The sequence below is a fragment of the Homo sapiens genome, chromosome 14 (genome assembly GCF_000001405.40).
Source record: "Homo sapiens chromosome 14, GRCh38.p14 Primary Assembly".
Lineage (NCBI taxonomy): Eukaryota > Metazoa > Chordata > Mammalia > Primates > Hominidae > Homo > Homo sapiens.
Window position 1 is genome coordinate 62,800,996 of NC_000014.9, and position 15,283 is coordinate 62,816,278.

The following is a 15,283-nucleotide window of genomic DNA, read 5'->3' on the forward strand; positions in this document are numbered from 1 at the left end:
TTAAGGAAAGGCTTACAAACCTTGGTATTCAGTCATTTGCAACCCTGAACCATTTTCTAGAACTCACAATTTTTACAGAACCTGTTTCCCTATGAAGGGTCATTTCTTTTCCATTCTCAATTCTATATTTTTCAAGTAATGGTGCTTTTTGAAGTCAATTTTTCATTATATTGTGGTGGATTTTGCTTTTGTAGTTTTTAAAATCTATCAGTTAATCTTTTACTTTTGAGAATAAGTGGCATTCAAGCTATGGTAGGTTGACCTCAGTAGCTGAAAATCCAATAGTTTAAAAATTGAGCTCATTTTTCATGAGACACAAGCCATGAACAATGTGATCAAAATGAAGTCGACATCCTGCAATTCTAACTTATTTTACCTGGTAAAAAAAAAAAAAAAAGAAATGATTCTCCTCTGACCTCATTATTACTTCCTTTTATATCTGTGGATTTCAGGAAACTGCTGCAGATATTTGAGCAGAAAATGATCTAAAAGGTCATTTGGCAATTTTTTTTTTTTTTTTTTTTTTTGCCAAGCGTATATCCTACACTGTCCCCAAACATGCAACATTTTTTATTTTATCACTTATATATACTGTTACTGCCCTTTTATTGTTGTGGTTGTGGTTAGTACAACTATCTACTGAATTCTAAATTCTAAAATGCTCTAAATTTTAAAATGAATTTATTATTAGCCAAATAATTTTTATGGCCTATTAATATAGAGGACAGAACCAGCTTTATAAACCTAAATTTAATTTACTTATACTGCGATCACTCTGCTATAAAGAGTCAGACTCATTAACCTCCTCCACACTTTCAGCTCACTACTTAGGTTGACCGTGATGAGGGAGAAAGTTCTGGGGTAAAATGATCTATTTTCAAGCCTCCATTCATTTACTAATTGGGAAAGTCACTAAGCTTCTCTGGACCTCACTTGGCTCCTCTCTAAAGAAAAGGGTTGAACTAGACAGGTTCTGTTGCCCTTCTGAGACTAACACCCTTCATCACTACCACGTCAATCATTCCACAAGCCATTTTCACACTTACTAACATGGAGCTACAAGGCACGTTAGGCTGCGACCACCTTTAGTCTAAAAGGTACTGTCCTACTGTTGCCAAAGAAAGTTTAATCAAACTCAGCCCATTAGGTTGTGACTGATACTAATGTTCTCTGCTGAAATAGCATTATTAGTTTTCATTAAGATTCACGTCTCATTAGTGACCCAATTTCCAAAGTTACCAAACAAAGGAAATTTCTCTTTAAAAATGCGAAAAGCAAAATATCTAAAACTGTTACTACGCATTTGCTACTACATTAGGAAAGTTCACAGTACCTAAAATAGCCACCACCTCATCATCCTGGATGACTTCCAAGGATCCTGACACCACAAAGCAGAGGGCATCCACACTTTCTCCAGCATGGTAAATGAGGTCCCCGGGAGCACAGTGAATGGTTTGGAACTCTACCGCCAAGGCGCGCAGACACCCATCGCTGGCCAATCGAAAAGCAGGATGTTCATTAAAAACCTTCCGGTTTAGATGAACACAGATATCAGCTCTCATGTCCTTGGGACAGATGGAGAGGACCTAAAGAAGGTGAGAGATGAATAAGTGAAAAGGAAAGAGGAAGGGGCCACTTCAGAAAAACAATCATCCAACAAATATTTATTGACTATGACTATGTCTGCTACACTGCTACACACCTTGCTGGGTACTGGGAAGGCAAAGGGAACAAGACACAGCTCCGCTCTCAAGGAGGTAATAATCCACTGAGATGGGCTGATGAGCATATGGACCATGACAATGCAGAACTATGTAGTAAATGCTTTGAGAAGAGTATGGATCTCCCCTCAGAAAGAACACAGCCTTGGCTGGGCATGGTGGCTTCTGTAATTCCAGCACTTTGGGAGGCCAAGGCGGGTAGATCACTTGAGCTCAGTAGCTCGAGACCAGCCTGGGCAACATGGTGAAACCCTGTCTCTACTAAAAAGACAAAAAAAACAAAAATTAGCTGGCCGTGGTGGTGCATGCCTGTAGTTCTAGCTACTTGGGAGGCTGAAGTGGGAGAATCACCTTATCCCAGGAGACAGAGATTGCAGTGAGCCAAGGTCGTGCCACTGCACTCCAGCCTGAGTGACAGAGCAAGACCTTATCTCAAAACAAAAACAAAACAGTTTTGAGGTGGTCAAGAAGAGTCTCATAAAAAAGTTAATGTCATTTCATCAAAGAGTCAAGTAAAATAGGGCATGAACATTCATTTTAATCTAGCAGATGTTTCAGAATTTTTTTTATAACTAAATCAAAATTCCACATTGGAGGTGGATTCAGAAAACAAAATCAACAAAAGCACCCTGGCAACTTGACATACTGGCACTGGCAGACTAACTCCACTCTTGATATATTTTTTTCACTCTGAAGATTTTCCTTTTACAAATAAATTCATGTCCAGGAAGGGACAAGGGTATTGACCAGCCTTCTGTAAGGCTTGGGTGGTTGGAAATGTCAGTGCTGGCAGGGTGGGTATGTTATTTTGTATGGCAGTCCTTGTTCATTCTGGTCTCTGACTTCTGAAGACTACTGCAGGCAGTAGCAGAATTCACGCTGTAGGCATCCTTTAAAAGAGGAAGCAAATGGCAGAAGTATGCTTATACAGCAAGGGGTAGAGAGCTTTTATTGGCTACAGCTTTCTGACAGGGTGATTAAAGACCCACATTAAAATGGACATTATCATCATATTTAATCAGAACATCGTGGAGCAAGATGTGATTGCGGAAGTTAATACCACCCATTTTAAAGATGCAAGTGCAAACTCATTTAGAATCCTCCTCAAACCCCCTTTGTAAACTATTCTTTATAGCCAGAAATGATTTTCTTTGATCGGATTTCAATCCCTCAAAGCTGAAGCTAAATTGATTTACCCCATTAAGTTATACTGCATAATATTTTAATAAATATAAAATAGTTTTCTTTCCTCTACTAATTGCATTTTAAGCTTTAAAAAATTTCCTAAGGCTTGAAAATGTCCCCTGACTATTCCTTTTATTTGGGGGTCACTATCAATGAAAACTGGGTTGCTTCCCTGTAGAGAAGACAAGCCCATCATAAATGCAAAAACCATTAATTAAATTATGCTTTCAGTATCCCTTCTCTTATCCTTTCTTAATGCTCTACATACATTTCACATTATTTAATCATCTCTGGGTTTTTTTCATACTCCCTCAAATTTCTATAGGCAGCAGCAATCTGCTCACCCACCTTTCTGAAAAATCTGATCTTTGAGGAAAGGAATGCCTAACACAGCTTTAAAAGTAATTGACGCTGTTTTCACATCAGTTATTTTCTATAAGGCAATGTTTTATTTAATATATAAACCTTTACTGACTTTGGACAATATATTAGTCATTCTATAGGCACTTACTGAGCTTCCACAATGGGTCACATCACTGTGCTAAATCCTCAGAACTAGAAGGATAAGACACTGTGTTTGCCTCAGGTTAGCTAACCAGAAAGTGTGGGAGGTGGGCGTGTAAAGGGACAATTGCAATACAATGAAAAAAGTGGTATGATGGGAGCATGGCCAGAGTGACATAAAAGCATGTGCTGCCTGTGAGTCTTTACTTAGAGGCAGCAAAAAAGGTCAGGCTCAAGAGGACGTAAGTCTGGGTTCAAAACTATCACAACCTTTGTAACCTGGAGCACCTTATTTAATTCCTCTAAACCTCATCTGTGAAATGGGGATAATGATAGTGCTTATATCTTAGGCTTATTGCAGAAATTAAATGAAAGGGCATGAGTTGAGCCTAGTTTAGCCTGGCACATAGCAAGGGCAGAGGAAATACTAGCTCTTATCATCACTACGGAACATCTGTCTTCCTACAGAGTTTATTGTTGCTTAAACTCTCTACAAAAGCAATTTTCTTTTTTCACTTTCCACTCTGTCTGCAGTCTTCATCTGGACAGTTTGACTGGTTTCCAGACAGAATTAAGAAAATATTTCAGCACAAACCTGAAGATATTTTAAGCACTGATTAAGGTTAATATTTTTTTCCCAGTTGAAAATGAAATTAGCTCTAGAAGAACGAAAAAATTTAAATACATACACACATACACAAACATTACACTGAATACCTTAATGGAAAAATAGACTGCTCTATTTTGATCCATTTACCACATAGGACTTTCATTGTTTTCTATTCATTTTGGTAATAGTCATGTTATTTCCTTTTAATAATGTTTTTCAGGATTCATGTTGCAAATGAAATAGTCCAGTATTTGCAATATTCTCTGTTTATTGGCATGTCAAAAGAGGATTTTATTACATTATGAGTACACCTTTCCTTTTTTGTTTCACTTAACATATGACACTAATTGATTTATTATTTTGATTGATGGTATCTACTTATATCCAGATATCAAAAAGTGACAAGGTAAAACTAAATGCTAAAAAGATCAACCAAAGTCACACCCACTGGCAAGCACCTTCCTTCTCCAACCTTAGACAGAGCATGTGTGTTACATGATGTTTTTGTCATCAAAATATAAGTATCTTGTTATTTACTCTGGAAATGAAATGTTAATCACAGTCTTAGCCAAGGCAAAACTTGGTTTTAAGGGATGGAGTAAAATTATCATTCAAGACCTGGCCCACTGGTCTCACTTTCCATGTATTCTGCCTTGAATATCAGATCCAATTTATTGTAGGTAGGTTTCCTAATGAGGATTTCATAGTTACAAACAAATAAAATTATATTTCAGAAGAAAATACTTAGGTTAAAAGTGACTTTTGTTTGTTTTCAGAGTTGTTTGTCCCCTCTTTGCAACAGAATATTAATAAATTAGACTCGTTAAGATGAGCAATAAATTTTCTTGTAAGAGCTATGGTGTCAGAGGCATGTGAACCAGAACAACTCCATCTTGAATAGGTGCTGGGTAAAATGAGGCTGAAAGCTACTGGGCTGCATTTCCAGACAGTTAAGGCATTCTAAGTCACAGGATGAGATAGGAGGTTGGCACAAGATACACCTCGTAAAGACCTTGCTGATAAAACAGGTTGCAGTAAAGAAGCTGGTCTACCAAAACCAAGATGGCCACGGAGTGACCTCTGATTGTCCTCACTACTACACTCCCATCAGCGCCATGACAGTTTACGAATGTCATGGCAACGTCAGAAAGTTATCCAATATGGTCTAAAAAGGGGAGGCATGAATAACCCACCCCCTGTTTAGCATATCATCAAGAAATAACCATAAAAATGGGCAACTAGCAGCCCTTGGGGCTGCTCTATGGAGTAGCCATTCATTTATTCCTTTACTTTCTTAATAAACTTGCTTTCACTTTGTACTGTGGACTTGACCTGAATTCTCTCCTGTGTGAGATCCAAGAACCCTCTCTTGGGGTCTGGATCGGGACCTCTTTCCTGTAACATATTTCTGGCAACCACAGAAGAGACTATAGTGCAGAAACCCTGACCCAACAGCTACCTTTGGGTAAGTGTTGGGGTCCTGTAACATATTTCTGGTGAACTACAGAAGGGACGATACTGAAGAAACCACCCTCCCTACAAAGGAAGCAGACCGCAGCACTGACTGGATAACTTTGGGTAAGTGGTGGGCAACCCAGATAAAGAATGGGATTGGGTTAGAGGCTCAACTTAGGGGAGTTAGAGTCTCTCCCAAGACAGAGTGGGTTAGAGGCACCTCTTAATAAAAGGCAAGGATGCCTGACTGACATTGGGTTCGAGGCCCAACTTAGGAGGGTTAGAGTCCCTTCTAAGATTTAGGGGGTTAGAGGCCCCTCTTGGTAAAGTCCCTCTCAGCTAAGAACAGGTTTGGCACTATGGGATGTTAACTGCTATTCTCTTTGGATTAATCTGCCTTGCTCTCTTTGCTGATGGCTGTGGGTGACAGGGTTAGGCATGTACAGGATTGTGGGATATGGGGAGGTTTTTCCTCCCTGAAAGGGGAAACTTGAGAGCTGACAGGATTGCTGGAAAAGATCCCTTTGCTACCAAGAAGCAGCTGCCTGAACTTTTCAGTGTCACTGCAATGGGAAGGTCTTTCTCTGGCCTCCCTGATCATTTTGCCTTCCCCACACTGCACAGGCAATGCTTTTCTCTCTCTCCTTTCCCTTTCTTATCATTTCTATTACTCAGGGTGACCATCTTGCCCAGAGACCACTTGTTGAAACTCCAAGTCAGAGGTTGGATTAGACTCTGTCAAAGAAAACAAAAAATAAAAAACATGAACCTAAACACAGTAACCCAAATAATAACTCAGAAACTTGCATATGAAAAATCTGACAACTACTCTAGTAACCTTCTGTCTTTCTGTGTAGCTATATATATGTTGTATGTAATGTTTATATAAAAGAGCTCTAATTAATTGGCTGAAACAAAAATAAGCACTTCAATATTCTGAAAGCAAAATAAAAAACTATAATGCCTTTTAGTTCATGTAACTTTAGTAATATTTGCAAAATAAAAACAGCTTTAAAAATTATTAATAAAATAAAAACATTTAGTCTAAATTATGCAGGTCAGATATTAAGTTTGCTAAATGCTTTAAGGTCATAAACTGCTTCTTGAACTTTTAAAAATTGTTAAATTTACCTACCTTAAAGCCATTAGATTATAGATAAGACCTGGGGACATGTGGAATTCGCCATGCCCCCTAGCTATACAAAGATTATAAAGAAAGAGATTTTATATAAAAAAGGATCTTGTACCGTAAATTCTTGTCCTAAAGTAAAATGACTGGTTGTTTAAAAGGAGGGATGTTTAGAGCAAGTCAGAAAGTCCAAGAATGTCTCAGATGGTCTGTGTAAGCTGCGAAAGGATTTGTTAAAGGGAATTTATGCAAAAAATGTTGTACAATTTAAAGGTTGTTAGGCCTCCTAAATGCTTCATAAAATGACACTATAACTCTTACTGTACAACTTGCCTTCTTAAGTAAGGTAAGGCCTAGGGACGTGTGGAGTTAGTCATGCCCCCTAGCTATGCTGGAGAGTTGGTTCTTATCTGCACTTCTGCCTGGTATATCTTAGGCTAGGCTCCACACCTAGTACATGATTAAAATTGCTTACCAACCAGGGTTTTCACCAAAAGTAAAAGTCACTAAAAGTTAATAACATAACATGTAATTGAGACTACTGAAGATACAGTTTTACATGTAAGGTGTGTAAGGAAAGTGGAATGGACTTTTGGTAAAAGATTCTAAGAAGGCCTGGGAATGTGGATTTTTTTGTGTGTAAAGGGTGTTTTAAGTTAGATAGAATAAAGCTAAAGATTTAAACAGGTTGTGGAAGGTTTATAAAAATTAACTGTAAAAGATTCTGTGTGTAAACATATTGGCTAAAGTTAAAGAGGTATTATTCAGTTTTTCTGTAAATTAAACATTGGAATAGAAGCACAACAGGTTTTTCTTAGAGCACTGATCTGCTCTTTCACAAAAAAATGTAAAGGGTTATAAAAGGTTTATAAGAATCTAACCTTATGGTTAAACATTAAAATTGAGTTAATATGTCTATAAAGTTTTATGAAAAATTCAGTTTAACATTAATAGTACATTATTATAAAGGTGAAGTTTGGCTTATTTGGTATAAAAATCATACAGGAAGCATTATCAAATGTGAAATGGTGTTTTGCTTTCTTTGGACTGTATTTGCATAAATATGTTACTGGTATATGTTCCAAAGTTATGGGAAACTCCTGTAATTCTAATATGACTTAGTGTATGTTATTAATAATTATAATTGTTATGTAAAACTGTGTATGCCACAGAAGTAACCAAAGTTCCTTATCAATTGTGGCTTTAATTGTGGCTGTCCTAAAACTTTTTATCAACCACAGTCAACTGTTGCCTTGTTTTAATCCTCTTTAGAAGGTGGTTTGTAATAAACTATAGAACTCTAGCAGGTGTTCTTAAACACAGGTTTCTAATACCTTTGGAAATTGTAACATTAGAATAGAGAAAATAACTTTCAGAACTCTCATGAAGAGCTGGAACGTTCATGAATATCAAACAGAACAGGAGTTAATTGAATTAACTTAACCAATAGAAAACTTTTTAACTTTGCTTAAAACGTTGCTGAGCCTTTGTTTTGTTTTTCAGAGTCAAAGAATCTTTTCTTTTGAGCTATTTACAGCTTGTAGCAATTGAGCAAAGTATACTGCTGTGAACAAAATTTAGAACATATTTGTTTCTCTCTAACTGATTTCTCCAGAATTTGGAAACTAGTTATGAGTATTCTTAACTTATGGCAATATAGTTATTTGCTTAAGTGCAATAAGAATCTGTTTTATTTTGTAACAGGACACAACTGGAGAAATTGGTTATTTTACCAAGACTTTGACTGGAATGGTTTGCTTTCCTTTAAGGAATCAAACTTGACTTGTAGAGCCAATAAAAGCCCTTTGGGGAACTAGCCTCATACCTTGCCTACACAGTCCCTTTACAGGGTTTCTGACCTATGGTAAGTAAAGAATGTCACTTTCTCACAGGTCCAGGAGCCACAGGTTATCGTGGAACCTCAAAAGGAGAGGAATTTACTCAACTCATAGGTATTTGAGGGTACAAACCCATGGCAGGGCTTGGCTTTAAAAAAGTCTTATATGAGATTCCTTATGAAACAGAGTTCTATCAAAGCCAATTAAGAAGCTTATGTGAAATATAATTATTCTTGCTGAACTTTATACAAATTATCACGCCAAGTCTAATAAAGCAAATCAGTCTTACCGGAATTTGTCTTTAGTAAAAATGAGAAACTGGAGAGAGAAATATTATTTTTCAAGAACTATGGTACACGTATTACTAAATTCTAGTCTCAGTAGTTGTTTTTAAGTTTGTTTCTGCAATTTAGGCTAACCCTGCTCATTCCTGTGAACCAACCAATGATCTCTGACTGCTGTTTAGAAGAAACAAGAGGGATGGGTAATATAAAAACCTGGATCAGTATTCTAATTCTGGGCATATTACAATCAGCTAACAAGCCCATATCAGCTTAGTTCCAACAGTTGCCTAGTTCATGAAAAGTCTTCTAATTTAGTTTACCTGGAATAACTTTATTCATTTTGCTTTGCCCTTGTGGAATATATTACTGTTATACTCTTTGTGTAGGAATACAGAACAAGCTTACTGAATGATTCCTTAAACTAAACACTTATCAATCTTCCAGATATCACCTCTTGTCGAAACTCAAGAGTTATAAATGGCCCTCGCCATACTGATGTTTTCTGACTAAGCTCCTCTTTACCTGAACACAAGAGACCCTAATAGTTAGGCAGGAATATCATCACCCCTATTAAGCCTGAAGACATTACAGAAGGTGGATCTTCATCCCTCTGCAACCCTTATGATTAAGGGTTCTCTTATAAAGGGGAGGGGGAAATGTCAGAGGGATGCGAACTAGAACAAGTCCATCTTGAATAGGAGCTGGGTAAAATGAGGCTGAGACGTACTGGGCTACACTTCCAGAGAGTTAAGCCATTCTAAGCCACAGGATAAGATAAGAGGTTGGCACAAGATACAGGTCATAAAGACCTTTCTGATAAAATAGCTTGCAGTAAAGAAACTGGCTAAATCCTACCAAAACCATGATGGCCACAAGAGTGACCTCTGATCATCCTCACTACTACACTCCCATCAGTGCCATGACAGTTTACAAATGCGATGTCAATGTCAGGAAGTTACTCTATATGGTCTAAAAAGGGGAAGCATGAATAATCCACCCCTTGTTTAGAATATCATCAAGAAATAACCATAAAAATGGGCAATCAGCAGCCCTCAGGGCTGCTTTGTGTATGGAGTAGCCATTCTTTCACTCCTTTACTTTCTTAATAAACTTGCTTAATAAGTCACAGTTTGTAATGTGGACTCGCCCTGAATTCTTTCTTGCATGAGATCCAAGAACCCTCTCTTGGGGTCTGAATCAGGACCGCTTTCCTGTAACATATTTCTGGTGACCACAGAAGGGACTGTAGTGCAGAAACCCTGACCCAACGGCTATCTTTGGGTAAGTGTTGGGGTCCTGTAACAATGACAGTATGTAAGAAACCATTTTTCAGAATTCTGCAAAACAACCCTGGGGAAAAAAAAATGAATGTCATGGTCTGAAAAAGAAAACCTTTTTCAAATTCTTTATGATATTCACTAAACCCAAAGTCAAGAGGTATCTTAGCAAATATTCTCAAGCTCCAAAGATGTAACCTCCACATTTTGACTACAGAACTCTTAGTGAAACACATATATTATCATGTCATCTCTGTTTTCTTAAAATATCTGATGGCTTGCTTCCCCACCAACTACAGCCAAAGTCCTAACCAAGCATACAGGGCTCTTTATGGTGGAATCCTGCTCCAATCTTACTACCGTCCTCCAACCATGCCTTCCAATAACATCACCTTTCTCACCACCTAAGCTTGCCATGTTCTCCCATTACTCTTTGCCTTCACACATGCTTTTCCTTTTTACTGGCATGTCCCATCTTCCCTTTCTCTGTCTAGTCATCACTGATTTATCTGTCAAAGCACAGATTATCCTTCTTTCTACCATGAATACAGTATAGACACAGCTTTCTCATAGAATTTAGTAATACATAGAAGAAAATGAGAGTAAGAGGTGTTGTAATTTGTTGTTGTTGTTTTTAAATAATAACCAGAAATAGTAACACAGAATTATCAATAGATATTTCAGACTTGGTTTCAACCATAAAATCATTCTTTACTTTTTTTAATGAACACCTTCCTTTATGCTCAACATATAAATTAGAAATAAGCAGAATTATGCTGACAGAAGCTTCGCTGGAAAGGCAGACTCCCAGGCAGGATTGCTTAGAGCACATTCAGTCATTCATTTAGCTGATGATTATTAAGCACTGGTTACGTGTTAGTTATGTGCCTGGTACTATACAGGCCCTCCAGATCCATCAGCAAAAACTCTTATTGAGCCTGCTCCCCTGAAGCATCCAATTAGGCATGGTTTGAAAAGTCACTGTTCCTAGTTCACTGCCATTTTACAGATAAAGTGAATGTGTCTCATAAAGGTTATGTGACTTGCTCAAGTCCTCTCAACAAATTACTAGCAAAACCCCAAACTCTTGAGTTCCAGCTATTAAGCTACGCTCCTTCGTGAAGCTCAACCAGGAAAAAAATATAATATCTGGTACCTTCTCATGTTTTCTGGTTCTCTGTACTAAAAAAATTAAAATGCTGATTTTTGAAAATTATTTAAGGTCCAATTGATCAAATCTATAGTTTATTTATTAGGAAACCATAAATGCCCCGCCACTGCCATAGAACAGCCTAAATTTCATTGCCAATTTATTTCCATCTTTAAGCACTTTTTAATTTCAGCTCCAACAAATGTATCACATACTTCAATATGTTGATAAAGACATAGGATTCACTGTTAAGTTGTTATATCACATTACTACTCACCCAGAGGAAGACATCTTATTTGAAACACAAGTTTTATTGTATACATGAAAAGGACCTGAGCCAGAGGTTAGCATTTGATAAATGTTACTTTCCTTGGGTCCCTTCCCTCTATCACTTTCATGCACTATGGTATCAATAATGTCACAAAACCTTAGAAGATAAGGGAGTCTAAATATGATAATTAACAGAGAAGGCAATAAATTAAACCAAAATCCTCTAAAGAAATGGTTGACTAGAGAGAGTCAAAGAAAGAAGGCTTTATCTTCTCACTCGTTCTTTGAATATACTTAAAATGCTTTTTAATATTTATTATATAAAATATGGAAAATAAAAATCATAGAGGAAAAAACTCTTCCATTATTTACACTTATCTATGTGTAGATACCATCGTTACAAAACTTCAAACTCTACTATTTTATTTCTTGCTATAATGACTCATTATCACATTATAATCAATTCCTATGCTATGAAATACATATTTTAAAACCAAATTTCAATCCTTGTACAATATCCCATCAAATATTTATGGCACAATTAATTTAACCATTACATTATAATTGGATATCAAGATTTCCAGTATTCCCTTTCATAAATCAAGTTACAACAAATAACCTTGTACCTATATCAGATTGTCTAAGCACAAATTTTTAGAAGAAAAATTAGTAGGTAAAATGCCAAAACATCTTTAAGGCTGTTGCCAAACTGCATCCTAGAAAAGGTAAACCAAATTACACTCTAACCAACTGTGTATGAGAGTATGTTGCATGTTCTTAATAATATCTCTCTTTAATCTTCCAAATGCATTTGAAAGAGGGATGGCAATTTCACCTGAAACAAAAGTAGAATTGTATAGTGTAATGAGGCAGAATCTGGGAGATCTTTAGTCTTAGTGAAGTTATTCTACTACCACTACCCTCTAGCTCAGTGTTCACAGACTGAACACTATTAATGAAGCTATAACAAATTTCTAATGTGCAAATGGGGATAATGAGGATAATTTCACTTTAAGTGCCTGAAGGTAGTAAACTAAACAAGGCTTCTTCTTGAGGTCTTTTACTGCTCTAAGTTATTGTATTGATTATCTATAAAATCCTTCTTCAGGAATAATTCAGTATCAGCTATTTCTAATAATAATGAATAAGTTAAATGATCCCTCTATTTTTAGGACAAAGGAATAAATGCATTAATGACATTTTGATAGACATTGGAGCTACCACCAAATCTCTCCTTCTTTTGACACAATTAAGTTATGCACTGTTAATTAATCTCTCTTCATGAATCTAATGGAGCTGGTATTATTAAGTCAGTGAAAGCCAGTGGAGAGAGTCAGGCAAGTGACATTTGCACATAAAATATTTTTACAATCCTTCCTGGGAATGAGGAGCTTAAGTAGCTCTTTACAGGAATTTAATTCTCATTCATTTCTTGGGAAGAAAAGAAAGCTCACCTTTATATTTAAAGGAAATAAAAAGTATAACCAGGCAGTCATGCAGTCATGCCAAGCAAAAGGAAGTTGCTCTCTGGATGTCACTCTGACAATCTCTAGGGGTGTCAAAACCTCCAAGGAAATAACCCAGGAACAATGTAGTGAATAAAACCAAACCAAATTAACTTCCATTATTTAAAAATAAAAGGTCATATTTAGCAATAAAAGGCTGCCGCAACCAGTGAAGTATTATAGGTTAAACCTCATTGGTTTCACTTTAGAGATAAAGTTCCTGTGACTAGACTTCATATATAAAAATGAGACCTAAAGTTTTTGCTTCAGAATCATCGTGAACCAATTCTACCAGGTTTTTCACAATATTAGTTTTGCAGTAACAACAAACAGCAATTGTTACCATTTTTTAACTTGTTAGGCAGCAAATGTCTTGGGCCACTGGCTTTCCAAAGGCAGGGCTTTGATGAAATTTAGAGCTTCTACTGTGCTTTGCTCTTAATCTCGTGTCTTTACTGTCTTACAGGCAGATATTTGACTAAATAACAGTGCTTTTACATACCTGTGAAAGTATTTTCTAAAATTAGAAATATACTTTTAAGTGTATTTACTGCCCAGAAAAATACAAACAATATTGTTTTCTACTGGCCATGATCTTTTTAGTCCCCATGACAAGTGATGTTCCCATCCTTAAAAGAATGAGCCAGTCAGGAGCTTGAGACCAGCCTGGCCAACATGGCAAAACGCTATCTCTACTAAAAATACAAAAATTAGCCGGGTGTGGTGGCAGGCACCTGTAGTCCTAGCTACCCGGGAGGCTGAAGCAGGATAATCATTTGAACCTGGGAGGTGGAGGTTGCAGTGAACCAAGTTCACACCACTGCACTCCAGCCTGGGCGACAAAGCGAGACTCCATCTCAAAAAAAAAAAAAAAAAAAAAAAAAAAAAGAATGAGTCACTTCATACGAAGTGGGAGTGAGGTGCTTTGGAAAATCATCTGGCTATATTGTAACAGTTGAACATGCATATATTCAAAGACCCAAGAATTTCACTTGCAGATATATATGCAAGAGAAATGTCTGTATATATGCAGCGAATCTTGTGAACTACAGTGGGTATAGCATATATACAGTGGGTATAGCTCCAAACTGAAAATTACTCAAAGATTCATTAATGTTGAAATAGATAAATATTAATACATTGTGGCACAGTCACATAATGAACCGCTATTCAGCAATGAGAATGAAAGAAGTAACAACTATATATAGGATAAATCCATGGATCTCAACAACATAATGTTGACTGAAAAAGAGCTTGATACAAAAGAGTATACTCTATATCCATTTATATAAAGTTCATAAATGCAAAACTCATTTCTGGTGCTGAAGGTCAAGGTTTACATTACTCTTGAGGGCCAGAGTTGGTTAATTCCTGAAGAAGACATGGGATATAGACTTCTGGGGTTCTGATAATAAGGTTTTAATATCCTGGCTACACATGTGTCCACTTTGTGAAATTTTATCAAACTATTTATTTATAATATAATTTGTTCACTTATCAGTATTGTGTAATATCTCAATTTTTTAAATTTACTTTTAAAAGTTTAGTTTAAAAAGGAATATTTAAATATTCTCACCACACACACAAAAAATGGATAACTGTATGAAGTAATACAGGTTAGTTTGACTGTAGTGATTATTTCATTTTACATATATATACACAAAACATCACACTGTATACCTTAAATATATGCAATTTTTGTTTGTAAATTATACCTCAATGGTGAAAAAAAGTTTACATTATAAACAAAGTTACCTATTAAACAAACAGGTAGTATTTAAAGAGAAAAAATAAATACATGAAACAGAAATTAGAGATGCCAAATAAATTATTTCTTGGAATGACTGTGATTTTGAAAGTTGATGTTTAAATCTACCAGTCTTCCAATAGAGAGAGCAAAGTAAAGTAAGCTGTCTTTCCAAATTATTTATACAATTTAAGACATATACACACACACACAAAACACCAACTGTAGAAAGTAAAGGTAGTCAAAATAGGTCACAGAGTAGTAAATGAAGTAAAGAATATATTGATTGATTATATTTTTTATATTACTTCTAAATCCAAAAAGAATTTGAGAGTTGATGATATAAAAGAATATATATATATTCAGATACATACATACATATTCTCATATGCCATATGTGTGTATATTCATGTGTCTGTGTGCATATAGATTTTTTAAATCAAGTATATATAAAATAACAGCTACAAAGTTATCTTGAAAAGATTGGGAAATTATTAAGTGTAAGAAAAGCTAAACAAGATAAAACAAAATATAGTTCAGCAATTGAAATCATATTCAAACATTTTTTCACAACACTAACACTTACATAGGTTATAGATTTATATAAG

At 36.0% G+C, this 15,283-nt stretch overlaps 1 protein-coding gene across 3 annotated transcripts in view; it reads right to left on the reverse strand.

Moving 5' to 3' along the window:
- Positions 1-15,283, reverse strand: part of KCNH5 (potassium voltage-gated channel subfamily H member 5) — a 345,995-nt gene that overhangs the window by 101,532 nt on the left and 229,180 nt on the right. For 2 of the 3 annotated variants that reach the window (NM_172375.3, NM_139318.5), the window contains exon 9: positions 1,334-1,586. In NM_172375.3, the coding sequence (NP_758963.1) occupies positions 1,334-1,586 (253 nt within the window). The remainder of the gene's footprint in view (positions 1-1,333; positions 1,587-15,283) is intronic. The other variant, XM_047431275.1, reaches the window with a different exon arrangement.